This window comes from Homo sapiens, chromosome Y (genome assembly GCF_000001405.40).
Source record: "Homo sapiens chromosome Y, GRCh38.p14 Primary Assembly".
In the NCBI taxonomy this organism is placed as follows: Eukaryota; Metazoa; Chordata; class Mammalia; order Primates; family Hominidae; genus Homo; species Homo sapiens.
In genome coordinates, this window is record NC_000024.10 from 12815720 (window position 1) to 12833191 (window position 17472).

At 36.0% G+C, this 17472-nt stretch overlaps 1 protein-coding gene across 3 annotated transcripts in view; it reads left to right on the forward strand.

The window, feature by feature from the left end:
- The window catches only part of USP9Y (ubiquitin specific peptidase 9 Y-linked), a 159609-nt gene that overhangs the window by 114489 nt on the left and 27648 nt on the right, over positions 1–17472 (forward strand). For all 3 annotated transcript variants that reach the window (NM_004654.4, XM_047442772.1, XM_047442771.1), the window contains 2 exons: positions 405–625; positions 2701–2891. In NM_004654.4, the coding sequence (NP_004645.2) occupies positions 405–625; positions 2701–2891 (412 nt within the window). The remainder of the gene's footprint in view (positions 1–404; positions 626–2700; positions 2892–17472) is intronic.

A 17472-nucleotide genomic window follows, 5' to 3' on the forward strand; every position in this document is an offset into this window, starting at 1 on the left:
GCACATGCCACCGTGTTCAGCTAACTTTTGTATTTTCACTAGAGACAGGGTTTCACCATGTTGGTCAGGCTGGTCTTGAACTCCTGAACTCAGGTGATCTGCCTGCCTTGGCTTCCCAAACTGCTGGGATGACAGGCATGAGGCACGGCACTGGCCAATATTACATCATCTTATATGACTCTTAAAACTGTTACAGAAGCAGTATCATTAAAAACATCAACTTAACAAGGTCTGTAGTTAAAATCTGTATGGTGGCTTATGTTGTTGGTGTCAAAATTTAAAGTACTGTTTCAAAGTGGCTGTGGTGGTGAAGGAGGTGTTGCTATTATTAATTTGTTAGCCTGAAAATGGTGAACAGAATCACTGTTTTCATAGTATAAGCATCTTTTCTCTTTTCAACTCAGCTTGTGAAGCACTTACTGAGTGGGAATATCTGCCCCCTGTTGGACCCCGCCCACCAAAAGGATTTGTGGGACTCAAAAATGCTGGTGCTACGTGTTACATGAACTCTGTGATCCAGCAGCTATACATGATTCCTTCTATCAGGAACAGTATTCTTGCAATTGAAGGCACAGGTAGTGATTTACACGATGATATGTTCGGGGATGAGAAGCAGGACAGTGAGGTAAATTTTAATACTGTTTTCTTTGAAGAGTCTGATAGCAGATGCTGTTGTTCTCCCTCAGATTACTATACTTTCATGGGATGTTATGGGGACTACATTTTGATGATACAGACAGAATCTCTGAGATACTATGTCTGGCATACTTGTAGTACTCACTATGTAATAGACTTAAAACTCCAGTTGATAATTAAACACTGTTTTTTTGTTTGTCTCCAAAGCACAGTTAATATAATCGCATTTTGTGTGACATGGTAAATGTAATTTGGTATTTGAAAAATGATGAATCTATTTATTTTTAATAATTACATTTTCATTGCCTTGTTTTTTAAAATCTGTTATTTCATTTCTTTCACTTTTTATATTGTCTGTGTTTCATAAGCTGTACTTATTTTTAGGATTCTCTATTTTTCTCAAATTAGAGCTCTTTCTGCTAAGGAAACAAATTTGTTTCTCAGCTAATGCTTCACGGACCTGTTAACAATATTAGTTAACAGTTGCAGTCAGGCTGCCTATGAAATGTATCCAGTTGAAAATAAAGCAGTAAAAAAGTTAGGTTTTAGTGGCAGATCACATATTTAAGATGCAGGTCTTAAATACATGTATATGGAAAATTTGAAGTTTTGGTCATATTTTGGCTGGGCATGTGGCTCACGCCTATAATCCCAGCACTTTGGGAGGTCAAGGCGGGCAGATCACCTGAGGTGGGGAGTTTGAGACCACCCTGACCAACATAGCGAAACCCCGATTTTACTAAAAACACAAAAATTAGCCAGGCGTGGTGGCACATGCCTGTAATCCCAGCTACTCAGGAGGCTGAGGCCAGAGAATCACTTGAACTCAGGAGGCAGAAGTTGCAGTGAGCTGAGATTGTGCCACTGTACTGCAGCCTGGGTGACAGAGTGAGACTCCATCTGAAAAGAAAAAAAAATTTCGGTCATGTTTATACTTAGACTGTTTATCTTTTACTTTTTTGCATATATGTTGATAGGAACTAAATGCAGAAACAAAAATTGTAACTGCAGGAAATGGTTCTCCAATTTCTACATATCTTCCCTTCAGTGATCAGAAATAGTTTGAGTTTCAGATTGTAGTGTATCATTTATGGAGATTACAAACACTTGCTGCCGCCTTTCAAGATCTAATAAATCACACCATCCAGGCATTCCTATCTGGGTAACTATACTTACAGTAGAATCTCCATGTGGGTTGTTGACCAATACCAGGTTAAGAGCCACTACTGAAAGGAAATTGGAAATTAAGTCCTACTTTTATAGCCCATGTTACCCATAGGGTGTTGAATTTAAAACAGATAGGGATGGCAAATCATACTGACAAGAAGTAAGTGAGGCCAACAGAACATAAACTTTCAGATTAGGTCACCCACCTTTGTGCTTGGTTGCTTGTGCTTTATGTTGTCTCAGCACTGTACTATGGCATGCATGTGTCTGCCTACTTTTTCTATGCAATGAGCTTCTCCAGGGCAGGAACTGGGTATTATTTATTTCTGTATCACAAATACCAGATACAGAGCAAAGCATATAGAAACATGTTAGATATTTGTAAAGTAGCTGTATTTTGCTCTGTAGCTACAATGAGATTATGACCTATGGAGCTTCTGTATATGCTCCCGTACCTTCCACAGCTACTCTTAATAACTTTATTTATTGTTAATAATTGTGATAACATTATGTAAATTACTTCATGAATCTGGAAAATGCATTATGCTCACAAGAAAATACTGAGTCCTAGGAAGACCAAGTAACTTATTCCCCTGAAGTTACTTACGGCAGAGCACTCATTTGTCTTTACTGCTGTATACTTGACCAAACTTTACTATATTACACTACCTCTAATGTATTTTTTTAACTATTCTTTTATGATAACTTATCTGTGAAATCTTTTATCATAACCCATCTGTGAAATGAGCACTAATATTAAAAATTAAGTGCTTTGGAAGTAAGAAATATAAAAAAGTGCATAACATTTCATTTACTAACTTCTGGTATTTGTTTCAGCTTCTTTCGTTATACTGTTAAAGTTAGATTAGCTCATCAATAATGTCTTTTGGTCTCTAGAGTAATGTTGATCCCCGAGATGATGTATTTGGATATCCTCATCAATTTGAAGACAAGCCAGCATTAAGTAAGACAGAAGATAGGAAAGAGTATAATATTGGTGTCCTAAGACACCTTCAGGTCATCTTTGGTCATTTAGCTGCTTCCCAACTACAATACTATGTACCCAGAGGATTTTGGAAACAGTTCAGGTAAATTATGGGTGGGTGATCATTTAAGTTTCATAAAAACCTCAATACAGTAAACTTCTAAAATGTAGCTTAGAATACATAATTAGTTTTATATTTAATATTTAAACTGTACTAATATTCTAATTATCCTTCTTGGTCATAGTTTTGTTTTATTTTCCCAATAGAATGTTTTATTATCCCAATAGAAAGAAGTAAAATTTGTCACAGTAAAGAAAGGCACTGTGTTCTTTAATCTCTTAAGATGTAATTTACTTCTTCATTTTGGAAGACATCAATTATATAAAAGCAGCCAGGCACGGTGGCTCACGCCTGTAATCCCAGCCCTTTTGGAGGCCAAGGCTGGCGGATCACCTGAGGTCAGGAGTTCAAGACCAGCCTGACCAACATGGAGAAACCCCATCTCTACCAAAACTACAAAATTTGCCGGGTGTGGTGGCGCATGCCTGTAATCTCAGCTACTCGGAAGGCTGAGGCAGGAGAATCGCTTGAACCCAGGAGGTAGAGGTTGCAGTGAGCCAAGATTGTGCCATTGCACTCCAGCCTGAGCAACAAGAGGAAACTCAATCTTAATAAAAAATGATATAAAAGCAAAATACTAAAACAGTCATCCCCTTGCTTAAACAGCTCTCTGCTGAAGCAAATGTCAAATATATTGTTTTATCTATATAGATTTTTTTATATATCCCTAACATTTTTCTTTAAGAAGATGATCATGGTACATTATCACATATAATAAAAATTACTTTATAATCTTGGGAAACATGGCAAAACTTTGTCTCTACAAAAAAATGCAAAAATTAAGCATGGTAATATGAACCTGTAGTCTCAGCTCCTTTAGTGAGTGGAATATCATTTCATTCACTAACTTTTGTTCTTAGTTTCTTTCAACTTCTTTCATTATAAGTTAGATTAGTGCATTAATGATATCTTTTGGTCTCTGGAGCAGTGTTGATCCCTGAGGTGATGTATCATAATCACCTTGAAGACCAGCATTACTCATAAAGAAATGAACATTTTCACCACTAGAAAGGAAGTCCCCCTTCCTAGTCTGGCAACAAAAAATATATGTGTATTATTATATATCTTTATATACTGTATATATTATATATAATTATAACTTTATATTTTTATATATATAGGTATATTTTTCTTTACAAATTTGTAAAGTGATGATTCCCTAACATCCTCCAAAAGTGACCAATAAAATTTGGCCTCTTTTTAGGTTTGGAAAACCTCAATTAGGCCAGCTGCAGTGGCTCACACTAGTAGCCCCATCACTTTGGGAGGCCAAGGCAAACAGATCACTTGAGCCCATGAGTTCAAGACCACCCTGGGCAACATGGCAATACCCCATCTCTACTAAAAATGCAAAAACTTAGCTGGGCGTGGTGGCCTGTGCCAGTAGTCCCAGCTACCTGGGACGCTGAGGCAGGAGGATCACCTCAACCGTAATGGAGCCACTGGCCTCCAGCCTCAGCAACAGAGGGAGACCCTATCTCAAAAAAAAAAACAAAGAAAGAGCTCAGTTACATCTTGAACTTGTCTTTTTTGTTTGTTTGTTTCACCTATTTTATCAAGGCCTACTTTGTGTTATACATGCTACTAAACACTGTAGCACAACTTTTTACTATATACTGTAATACATGCTCTTCCTAATGTGTAGAAAAATGCTGCTGCCCCTCATAAGAATTTAGAGTTCTTTCAACAAGATACTTCCTTGATAGCTCAGAGATAGGAAAGGAAAGGGCTCTTCTGATTTCTGAGCTGCTTTTTCTGTTGCACTTATGGCAGCCACCCTTATATGTATTAGCATATCACTTTGATTCCTTTTGAAAGTCACAAACTTACAGTACACTGACTCCCCATTATATCTCTCAGTATAAATTTCTGTATTCTGTAGCTGAGCTGTAAGCCTAGATTATAAGTACGATATGCATATATAATTCTTCTTTTCCTCTTTCAGTTATGTAACTTCACACGTGCCTTGCTCCCCTTTTTACCTGTTTCAACTGTTTTTTTCTTTCCCTAGCGTATGCTTTCTTTACCTCGACTTTTTTCTGCAATCTAGTCAACAATTCTGTTCCTGTTCTTCCAATTTACTATAACACTTTTAGATTTGTCTTCAAATCTTTCACTTAATAATATATGTGTGATAACTGAATACACAGTTACATAATTATATACATTATAGAGGAATTTCATACACACATATATAGATATATATCGTTTTGCTTCTTTATAATCTGTATTTAAATGTATTAAGCTATAATGTGTTTGTACTTAAATATGTATGTTTTTGTCCTCTCAGTGATTCTCTCCAAATAAGTGTGGAGCTCACAATTTGTCCTAAAACATTTGTGTTACACAAACTGTAGACACATATGTTCCTATTACATTTTTTTCTTTTGTGGTAAAGTTCTCATAAAATTCAACATTTTAACCATTTAATAGTGTACAATTCAGTGCTTTTTGGTACATTCAGAATTTTTGTGAAAATATCACTACCATTTGGTTCCAGGACATTTTCCTCACCAAAAAAAGAGGTTCCCTGCTCATTAAAGAATCATTCAGCCCACTTTTCTCTTCTTCCTACCCCGACAACAAAAAATTACTTTTCTCTCTATATAGGTTTGCATATTTTTGATATTTCTTGTAATTTAATCACAGCATATATGGCCTTTCTGTCTAGCTTCTAATGTTAAATATGGTGTGTTTAAGGTATGTCCATTTTGTAACATGTATCGGCACTTTGTTCATTTTATGGCTGAATTATATTTCATTGTATGACTAGACCATGTTTTATTTATCCATTGATTAACTTTGGATGGTTTCCGTCTTTGAGCTATTGTGAATAGTGCCTCTGTGAAAATTCATGAACAAGTTTGTGTGTGGATCCATGTTTCATTTCTTTTTGGAGTAGACCTAGAAATGCGGTTACTGGGTCATGTGGTAATTCTATGTCTAATTTTTTGTGGAGCCACCAAATTGGTTTCCAAAGCCCCTGTAGAATTTTACATTTTCTTTTTTTTTTTTTTTTCCTTGAGAAGTAGTCTCACTCTGTTACCCAGGCTGGAGTACAGTGGTGCAATCTCAGTTCACAGCAGCCTTTACATCCCGGGTTCAAGAAACCGTCCTGCCTCAGCCTCCCTGCCTCAGCTCCTGAGTAGCTGGGACTGCAGGAGTGCTCCATCAGCACTCCACCACAGCTGATTTTTGTATTTTCAGTAGAGACAGGGTTTTTAGTAGAGATGAGATTTGGCCATATTGGCCAGGCTGGTCTCAAACTCCAGACCTCGGATGATCTGCCGACCTTGGCCTCCCAAAGTGCTGGTATTATAGGTGTGAGCCACTGGCCCTGGCCCAGACATTTACATTTTCTGTCAGCAAATTATGAAGGTTACAGTTTCTCTACATCTGTCAACACTTGCTGTTTCCTTACTTTTAGTATATCCATCTTGAAATATGTGAAGTGTATCTTATTTTGAATTTGATTTGCATTTCCCTAATGACTGTTAGTACTATTGAGCATTTTGCATGTACTTATTAGCAATTTCTGTACTTTTTTGAGGAAATGTCTGTTGAAGTACTTTTCTCATTTTTTGATTGCCTTTTGTTGTTGCATTGTAAGACTTCTTTGTATCTTTTTTGCGTATTTGTGATATTAGGCCCTTAAAGATAAATTATTTAGAAATATTTTCTCCCATCTGTGGATTATCCTCTCAGTATATTTATAGTACACTTTATGCTTAAGAGGTTTTTTCTTTTTTTTTTTTTTTCACAGTATCACTCTGTCACCCAGGCTGGATTGCAGTGGTGCAATCTTGGCTCACTGCAACCTCTGCCTCCCAGATTCAAGCAATTCTTCTGCCTCAGCCTCCCAAGTGGCTAAGACTACCGGCCTGTGCCACCCCACCCAGCTAATTTTTGTGTTTTTAGTAGAGACGGAGTTTTACCACATTGGCCAGGCTGGTCTTGAACTCCTGACCTCAGATGATTCGCCTGCCTTGGCCTCCCAAAGTGCTGGGATTACAGGCGTGAGCCACAGCACCCAGGCAAGAGTTTTAAATTTTGATGAAATCATACTTATCTTTTTTTTTCTTTTCATTTTCAGGCTCCTCCTGTGATTTACTATTTCTATCGTGGCAGAATGTGCATAACATAAAAATTCACCCTTTTAATAGATTTTAGTTGTCCAGGTGACTGGCATTATATACCTTTACGCCACTATATCCGAAGGTTTTGCATCTTTTTTTGTTTGTTTGTTTGTTTGTTTGGAGACGGAGTCTCGCTCTCTTGCTGTGCTGCAGTGCAGTAACGTGATCTCAGTTCACTGCAACCTCCACCTCCCGGGTTCAAGCAATTTTCCTGCCTCAGCCTACCGAGTAGCTGGGATTACAGGTGCCTGCCACCACGCCCAGCTAATTTTTGTATTTTTAGTAGAGACAGGGTTTCACCATGTTGGCCAGGGTGGTCTAGAACTCCTAACTTCAGGTGATCTACCTCGCTCTGCCTCTCAAAGTGCTGGGATTACAGGCTGAGCCACCGTGCCCTGCCAGTTTTTCTTCTTTTAAATTGAAACTTTATATTCATTAATAATAGCTCCCTCATATCCCCATATTGATTTTGAGGTGCTGATTTGGAAACTTTGTTGAATTATTTTATCATAGTGATGTATACTTGTGTGTAATCGTTAGGATTTCAATTTGGATGCTTTTTGTTTCTTATTTCTTTAATGATTGTCTAGGAGAATTACTGTGTCAAATAGAAGTGGTAAAAGTGCATATCTTTGAGTTGTTCCTGGTCTTAGAGGAAAAGCTCTTAGTCTTTCATCATTAAAACCTTGTCTTAGACAAGCTTGTCCAACCTGCCTTATTTCATTGTTATGTTTTGTTTTCTTTTAGGCTAAAAGCAGCCTGAAGCCATGGGTTTTTAGTTTCTGTGTCTAGTGATAAGATTAAACGAGGGTGAGGAAGGAACTTTACTGGCCTATCAAGAAACAGAAACTCAGAACCCATGAGTGTATTCTCTCCCTTGGACAATCCTGCCTTAGACCATATTTAAATATTGACTCAGTATGAATCAAAGCTAAACATAATAAATAAAATTTTATAAGTTTAAAGGGAAAATTTATGACATTGGATTTGGCAGTGATTTGTTTGATTACATCAAAAGTACAGGCAGCAGAAGAAAAAGTAGATAAAGAATAAAAGTCATATTCTGATATCCAGTGAAAATATCTCTTAGTAGTTACTGGGATATACATTTATTCTCATGAGAAAGGAAACTTGTGAAGAAATTTCTAAATTCTGTCAAAAGTTTTGGCAGAAAGGTAGTTAAACACAGGGACACATGTAATTGCAAGAAAGAATACAAGCAGGAAATGGTATATGTAGTAGTCTTATTTTTCTTTCCTAGTTTGTTTAAATTTCTATGAGTATTGAAAATAAAAATAACATTAAGGGGTAATTATGCATGGTTTTAGTATGTTTGACAATTATATATGGAGAAAAGTAAATGCTTATTATTTGGCTGTGAAGCTTCTGTATCTTAATGGAAGTGGTAAAATATTAACACTGTGATAATGTAATTCATAAAGCAATTGTATATAATTTATACATATATTCTGTATATGTATTTACATACATATATATTTGTGTGTGTTTATGTAAAATTACACAGACATAGACAGCTAAACGTACATACAGAAATAAGTACAAGTAAAACCTAGAGAAATGTAATTTAAGATTTTGGCTTGTACCAATAATAGTATCCCAATTGTGATACTGTGTTACATAGTTTTGCAAGATGCTATTGCTGGGGAAATTGGATAAAAGATATCTTTATTAAAATACAGAAACAGAGAAAACAGCATCTCTGTTATTTCTTAAAACTCCATGTGATTCTACAATTATCTCAACTTTTTTAAAAAAAAAATCCAAGCTTGGAAAAAGAAAATAGGAAATCACTAACCAAGAAAAGTTGAAAGAACCATCCCAAGTAACTCTGGAAGACAGTGTATTGAGTAGGTACTGTAAAGCTAAATAAAAAGAACTGTACAGAAGTACTAATCTCTGCAATTCTATTTCCAAGTGTTACCAATTCTGGAACTACTTTAGATGTTTATTAGAGGTGAACAAATCTAGCACAGATAATAACAGCCAGGATTGTAATTTTTGTAAAGATAAGTTACAGGTAAGGGAAGGTAGGTGGCTTGAGTGAACAGTGGTATGTAGTTGTAGTCATGTTTATTTTAAACTACATACGTGGTGTGATATGTATGTATGCTTCTTGGTGGTTGTGTTTTTGTTGGTTTGTTTGTTTGTTTGTTTGTTTTGAGACAGAGTCTTGCTCTGTAGCCTGGTCTGGAATGCAGTGGTGCAATCTTGGCTCACTGCAACCTCCACCTCACAGGTTCAAGCGATTCTCCTGCTTCAGCCTCCCAAATAGCTGGGATCGCAGGCAACCATCACCATGCCCAGCTAATTTTTTTTTGTTATTTTTAGTAGAGATGGGGTTTCACCATGTTGGCCAGTTGGTCTCGGACTCCTGACATCAAGTGATCTGCCCCCATCAGCCCCCTAAAGTGCTGTGATTACAGCTTGAGCTGAGCCACCATGCGTCTTGTATATATGTTTTAAGTTTAGACACATACATACAGATAGGCGTAGCAATAGAGATATGTGTGTGTGAGCATTGATGTGGTATATACACATATATTTCCAAGTTCTGTGCACTGAGAATGTCTAAAAATAATGACCCCAATAATGTAGGTGTCTAACGGTTGGTACCTAGAGCTTAATTTGTACATAGTTATCTAGGCAGTTGGTATCTAGAGCTTAATTTGTACATAGGTATCTAGCAGTTGGTATCTAGAGTTTAATTTGTAAGTACCATTTTCTGATGAAAAGGAACCAGACCTGCCTGGAAAGTTGGTGTGTTCCCAGGCAGGAGCAGACGACTATGAGCATATTGGCCTAGATGCAAGCCATTAAGGAAATTGTCAAAAAAGAAAAGAAATAATACCAAGTCAGCATAGGAGCCAACTGAAAAGCTCTCGTGTTTAATATTGAAACAATTTTAGGAAAAAGATAAATAATAATAGTATTAGATTATAATACTTAGCATAAAATAAATGCTCATACTGATAGAAGCAAATAACTGAATAAATAAATGAAGGAAATAGAGTAACACCATTAGAGCATCACAGTAATAACTGATGCAAGAAAGATTCACTGATTACCAAAATTAGTGGGGAATAGTTGAACGGTAAACAGTATATTTTCTTTTCTTTTCTTTTCTTTTCTTTTCTTTTCTTTTCTTTTCTTTTCTTTTCTTTTCTATTTGAAATGGAGTTTCACTCTTGTTGCCCAGGCTGAAATGCAATGGTGTGATCTCGACTCACCACAACCTCCACTTCCCAGGTTCAAGCGATTCTCCTGCATCAGCCTCCCAGGTAGCTGGGATTATAGGCGTCTGCCACCACGCCCAGCTAATTTTTTGTGTTTTTAGTAGAGACAGGGTTTCACCATGTTGGTGAGGCTGGTCTCGAACTCCAGACCCTGGGTGATCCACCAGCCTCGGCCTCCCAAAGCGCTGGGATTACAGGCATGAGCCACCATGCCAGGCCAGTAAACGGTATATTTTCATATAGGAATTATTAACCTGTTTTGTACCTTAAAACTAGGGGAGCAGCCAGGTATGGTGGCTTATGCCTGTAATCCCAGCACTTTGGGAGGCCAAGGTGCGCGGATCACTTGAGCCCAGGAGTTGAACACTAGCCTGGCTAACATGGTGAAACCTCCATCTCTCCTAAAAATACAGAAATTAGCTGGGCATGGTGATGCATACCTGTAGTCCCAGCTACTCAGGAAGCTAAGGGAAGAGGATTGCTTGAACCCAATAAGTTGAGGCTGTGGTGAGCTGTGATTATATCACTGCACTCCAGCCTGGACAATAGGGCAAGATCCTATCTTAAAAAAAAAACAAAAATGAAAAAGAAAAAAAAAGGAAAGAAAAAAATACAGTGGAGAAAATAGTAAATTAAACCCAAAACAAGCAAAGATTTTTCAGAAGTACTAGAAACCAATGAAGTTGGAAAAAAAAAAAAAAAAAAGAAGTGATAGAGAAAGAAACTTTAGAGTAGTGCTAAAAATGAAAACAATGTGTTTTTACTTCTTGTCAGCTTGAAGTAATTTGGACTTAATTTGCCTCCTTTGGTGAAACAATTTTTTAAAAATATACAGATAAAGTACATTAAACTATGGCTTCAACACATTAGGCATCAGACAAAAAAGGAATATTATTCTTGAGATAGGAAACAAATGAGAGCCCTGCAGTAGCCTTAGTTAGTCTACAGTGTAGGGTGGGACAGTGAATCAGACCAATGGAATTCCTGACTTAAGGAAACATTGTGGAGAATCCAAGGAGACTAAAGGATCTAAGGTTTGTAATAGTGCATCAGAGAGCTGCATTAATTCTAGTAATTTTTATTTCTCCTTGAATATTCAAGAGAGAACTAAGCACTACATGTAAATCGGGAAACAAATTGGGGTAAGGAAAGAAACACATGAAAGAATTAGAGGGAGCAGTCTAAATTCTCACAGAACAGGAAAAATAGCTGTTCCTCCCAGCCACATTAGAAAAACTGTTAGTTCACAGGGTATAGAGTATCTAGAAGAGCCTTGTTCGGTACCAAGGAATACTTATTCCTATACTATGCACTGTTTTTGGCTACCTAAAGTGTGAACAGGAAAATCAAACTACGTCTCAAACCAAGCTAGAGAAAGTTTAAAAGAGTACAGAATATCAAGCATTGAATAAGGTAAAATTCAAAATATCTCTATCTAGTCAAAGATTATCAGGCATGCAAAGAAGCAGGAACATATGACCTACCATGTGAAGAATCAACAAATAGGTGGACCTGACCTAGAACTGACTCAGATGTTAAACGATAAAAACTTTTAAAAGTTTTTGTAATGTATATTCATATGTTCAAAAAGTTAGAGATAAGCAAAATTACAACAAAGCTCTGCAGATGAAGACTTAAAAGAGATGAAAAATACGCTAAGGCTGGGCGCGGTCATGGCTCATGCCTCTAATCACAGCACTTTGGGCGGCTGAGACCGGTGGATCACCTGAGGTCAGGAGTTTGAGACCAACCTGGCCAACATGGTTAAACCCATATCTACAAAAAATAGAAAACTAGCCAGGTGTGGTGGTGCATGCTTGTAATCTCAGCTACTTGGGAGGCTGAGGCAGGAGAATCGATTGAAGCCAGGAGGTGGAGTTTGCAATGAGCCGAAACCACGCCATTGTACTCCAGCTTGGGCAATGAGTGAAAGTCCATCTCAAAAAGAAAAGAAAAAGACGCTAAATGAGATTAACAGCTGATAACACACTGCAGAAGAAAAGATCTATTAAATGTATTCATTATAAAACACAAGGGTAAAATGATTTTCTAAAACAAAAGAGTATCACTGAGCTGTGGGACAACCTTAGATGATCTAATTAATTTCCCCAAAACAGGAGAAGGAAATCAAAAAAAAAAAAAAAGGCATTAGAAGATATGATGGCCTAAAACTAAATAAAAAGTTTTTATTAAGATTCTTCAAGAACTACTTTGCTTGATAGCAAAATATGACAAACATTTAAAAATACTGAAACTACAGACCACATTTCTGGTGTTAGATGCACGGTTTCTAAAAATAATTTTGGAAGTTGAAGTGAACAATGTTAAAGACAATACCTGATGACAAAGGAGAATATATTTTAGGAAAGCTTAGTTGGTTTAAATCAATTAATATACTTACATTAAACAAACTAAAAAGGAAACTTATATGATGACTTCAGTAGATGTAAGAAAACATTTGACAAAATAGATTTTCCTGATAAACATCAGCACAACTAATAATGAAAGAAAACCTGATAAAAGGCATCTGCAGACAGCCTACAGCTATCATGTTGAATGCAAATTCATTATTGTGAGTGGAAAAAAAAAGACAGGAATGGTGGATATCGTGTGATTGTATTAGTATTAAAATTATAGAAAATGGAAATATTCTAATTGGCAGAAAGCACAAAGTGGTTGCTTGAGATGGGAAGAATGGGATGGCAGGGGCAAAATGGAGAGGTTAAAAAGGAAAATCATTTGAGTGTTGGATACATTCATTATCTTGACTGAGGTGATTTTACAAGGGGTGTGTGTATGTGTGTTGTTATAATTTATCGTTTATGCTTCTGTTTACTGTATATGAACACTCTTTACCGAAACAAACAAAAAAACCAACAACATTGAAAACTAATTGCAGCTTCTGAATGCTGAACACTGAAAAAAAACTGCAGAGATCAAAGAAGGTAAAAATTGATAGAAAAAAACTCACAACGATTTTTTTTTCCCACAAGACCATGCAGATACCATACTATCCCTTTAATGAAAGATGAAATATTGCTAACATGTCAGTTCTTCCCAAATTGATTTATAAACCTATGTTTTCTATCAGGATATTTACATATATTAATTTACCAATTATTAGCATGAAAGGAAAGAGGACAAGGAAAGCTAAAACAATTTGGGAAAGGAAATGATCCAAATTGGAGAACTTCCACTGCGTGATTTCAAGACTGCCATTAAAGCCACAAAAATTAAAACATGGCATTAATAAAAGGATAGGCACAAAGATTAATACCATGTGTAGCTTTGGAAAATAATGTATACTAATATGACTAATGTCCCAGATCATTTAATGAAAAGACTTCGCATTTTTCCCATCTTGGGGAGAGAATGCAAAGTCTTCACTTTTAGTGATTTGGGACAACTGGACATTCATATCCTTTCCCCTAAAGTGAACCTCAACCTGTGCCTTATACAAATTTAATGCAAAATGAAACTCAGACCTAGAATGTGAGAATATTGAAGAAAAACCTTTTGTCACTTTGAATTGTTATCAAACAATATTTAGATGATAATTCATAAATGTTGATACGTGTGACTTCATCAAAAGGAAAGCCATATACTCTTCCAAAGACGACATTAGGAAAATGAAAAGGCATAGCATGGGAAAAATATTTGCAAAATACATACAAAATAAAGAATTTTCCTAGCTCAATATTAAAAAGTACATAATTAAAATTCTTAAAATATTTGAAAACTTAACCAAAGAAGATAAATGGTATAAAACTGTGTTCAACATCATTATTCATTAGGGGTTTTTATGTTAAAACCACAACAGATACAACTACACCCCTGTTTTTTTCTGGTGCTGGTTTGGATCAGGAGTACATGATACTCAGCCGTTACTGATAAAATTTTCCAAAGTTGTGATCCTTTGGGAAACTGCCAGTTTCTTACAAACTTATTCATAAACTTAATGTACAACTAAGCAGGCTGACTCCTGGATATTTATCAAAATGAACTGAGGACTAAGATAGAGCCTGTCTGTAGGTATTTATAGCAGCTTTATCAGCAGTGCTAAATTGCTTGTGTCCCAGCAATTTTGGGAACAACTTTTGTCCCTTGAATGGCTAATAGATAAGTAAATTCTGGTACATTCATATGGTGAAATACAACACGGCAAAGAAAAAGGATTAAGCTATTGACACACTGAGCTGAGTTAAAGGTTCACATTCATTGTGCTAAAGGAAAGCCTCAAATCTACATCTAACATATAGAAGCCTGACAAAGATGCTGCAAGAAAATTATAGACCAGTAATCCATTATGAACATGGATGCAAAATTCCACAACAAAATACTAGCAAACCCAATTTAGCAGCATGTTAAAAGAATATTATATCATGACCAAGTGGGGTTTATTCTAAGAATATGTGCATGATTCAACAAGTGAAACTAATCAGTGTAATACACCACTTTAATAAATGAGCAAAAAATAGCACATTGTCATCTCAATTGAGATGGAGGAAACATTTAACAGAACTGCCTTTCATGATAAAAACATGCAGTGAATACAGAACAGAAGGAAACTGCCTCAGCTTAATAAAAGCCATGTATAAAAAACTCTGAGCAAGCATATTTGTAATATAAAGCTTTTACTCTAAGATAACGAACAAGGCAAAGCTGCCCACTTATACCACCGCTGTTTAATATAATACTGGCAGTCCTACCCAGCACAGTTAGGCAAGAAAAAAGAAGAGGCATCCACATTGGAAAAGGAGCAGAAAAATTATCTCTGTTTACACATGCTGTGATGTTACATGTATAAATTTCTGAAGATACTCCTACGAAAACTGTTGGAGTAAATAATTGAATTAGGCAAAGTAGCAGAATGCAAAGTCTCACAAATATCAGTTGCATTTCTATACAATAACAGTAAACAGTCCCAAAAAGAAAGTATGAAAACATTTATATAGCCATCAAAAAATAAAATACTTAGGTATTAATTTAACCAAGGTGGTGAAAGATTTATATTGCTCTGCCATATAAGATGTGCTTGCTTCCGGTTCCCTGTCCACCATGATTAAGTTTCCTAAGGCCTATCAGTCTTGCTTCCTTACAGCCATGTGGAACCGAGTCACTTAAACTTTTCTGTATAAATTACCCAGTTTCAGTACTTAACAGCAGTGTGAAGACAGACTAATATGACCAAAAGATTTGAATAAATGTTTTTTCAAGAAACATACAAATGGCTAAGAGGTACATATAAAAATGTTCAATATTACTAATCATAAAGGCAATGCACAACAAAACTGTATTGAAATACCATTTTAGATGTATTATAATGACCATTATAAAAATAGTAATTGCTGGTGAGGCTGTGAAAAAATTGAAACCCTTGTGTACTAAGGGTGGGATTGTAAAATGGTACAGCCACTGTTGAAAACATATAGTGCTTCCTCAAAAAGTTAAAAGTAGAAGTACAGCCGGGTGTGGTGGCTCATGCTTGTAATCTCAGCACTTTGGGAGGTGGAGGCGGACAATCACCTGAGGTCGAGTTCGAGACCAGCCGGAAACCCCATCTCTACTAAAAATGCAAAAATTAGCTGGGCGTGGTGGCATACACCTATAATCTCAGCTATTCAGGAGGCTGGGGCAGGAGAATCACTTGAACTTGGGAAACAGAGGTTGCAGTGAGCCAAGATTGCACCACTGCTCTCTGGCTTTGATGACACAGCAAGACTCTGTCTCAAAAATAAATCAATAAAAGTAGAATTACCATATGCTCCAGCAATTTCTCTTATTTCCCTGGTGGGTATAAACCCAAAGGAATTGAAAGCAGGGTCTCAAAAGAGGTAGTGTACACTCGGTAGTTAGTGACATTCACAGTTGATAAATGTAAAAATATTTTTAGTTTGTATCATCTGATAAATTGATAAATCTATATACATATTATGAAATGTTATTCACCATTGAAGGAAATTCTGTAATATGCTACAACATAGATGAGCCTTGAGGACTTTATGCTAAGTGAAATGATCCAAGTACAAAAACACAAATTCTGTATGATCCCACTTACATGAGGTTGTATTTATAGGTACCAAATGAATGCTGATTTTCAGAGGTTGTCAATAAGAAGTTTTTAGGGGTTGTTTAATGGGTATAATTTCAGTTTTGCAAGATGAAGAGAGGTCTGAGATGGAATGGTGTAATGGTAGTACAGCAGCCATCATGAATGTTCTTAATTCCACTAAACTTTACACTTAAATGATTTAAAAAGTAAATGTTGTGTTGTATTTATTTTACCACAGTAATATTAATTAAAAACAAAAGAATAAAGCCACATTCCAGTTCATCAGTATTCTTAAAGGGTGGCCTTAAAGTTGAATGAATACTCCAGATGTGGTACCAGATTTCTCTTTATGTATTAGTGAAGCCTAACACATTAGCATTTTACCCCTTTATTAGTTACATTGTCCTGTTGACTTGTACTGACAAACTAAAATCTCCTGGTTTTATAAAGAATCCTACTTGTTCTGTGCTCCTCTCTCTTTAATTTGCTGTCATACTTCTAAATTATCGATTACATTTTTCCTGATTAAATTTAATGTCTTTTTTAAAAAGGATAAAAAGTAAATTATGTAAACTCTACCACAATAATAAAAAGGATGGAAACACTAAATCTATATGCTTTCCTGTATGTAATATTCTAGAAAAGGCTACTTCAGATTTATGAAGAACAGATCAGTGGTTGCCAGGAATTAATAGCAGGAGATTCATTTGGCTTACAAAGTGCTACTATTAGGAAATTTAGGAAGGTACTTAAGAGATTGTTTGATACTCCAATTGTGGTGGTTACACAGCTGGCTGCCATTTGTAAAACTCACATCCTATGGCTTCAACAGAGTAGCTTCTATTGTATGTGAATTTTATTGTATGTATTAATATTTAAAATTTATTTTTAAATTTATAACAATTTTTTTAATTGTGAAAGTTCACCGCAAAGAAAAACACAGTGTACCACCTTAGCAAGTTCAAAATATTCCCATACCTTTTGCTAAAAATGACATTTTCTGATGCTTATTATTAGGAAAATATTGTTAGATGTTCTCAATAGCTTCCAGAATAACCTCTTTCAGCAGCATTAGTTCTCATTTTGTATACTTATCATTGGTATTTTCTTAGGATTGGTTC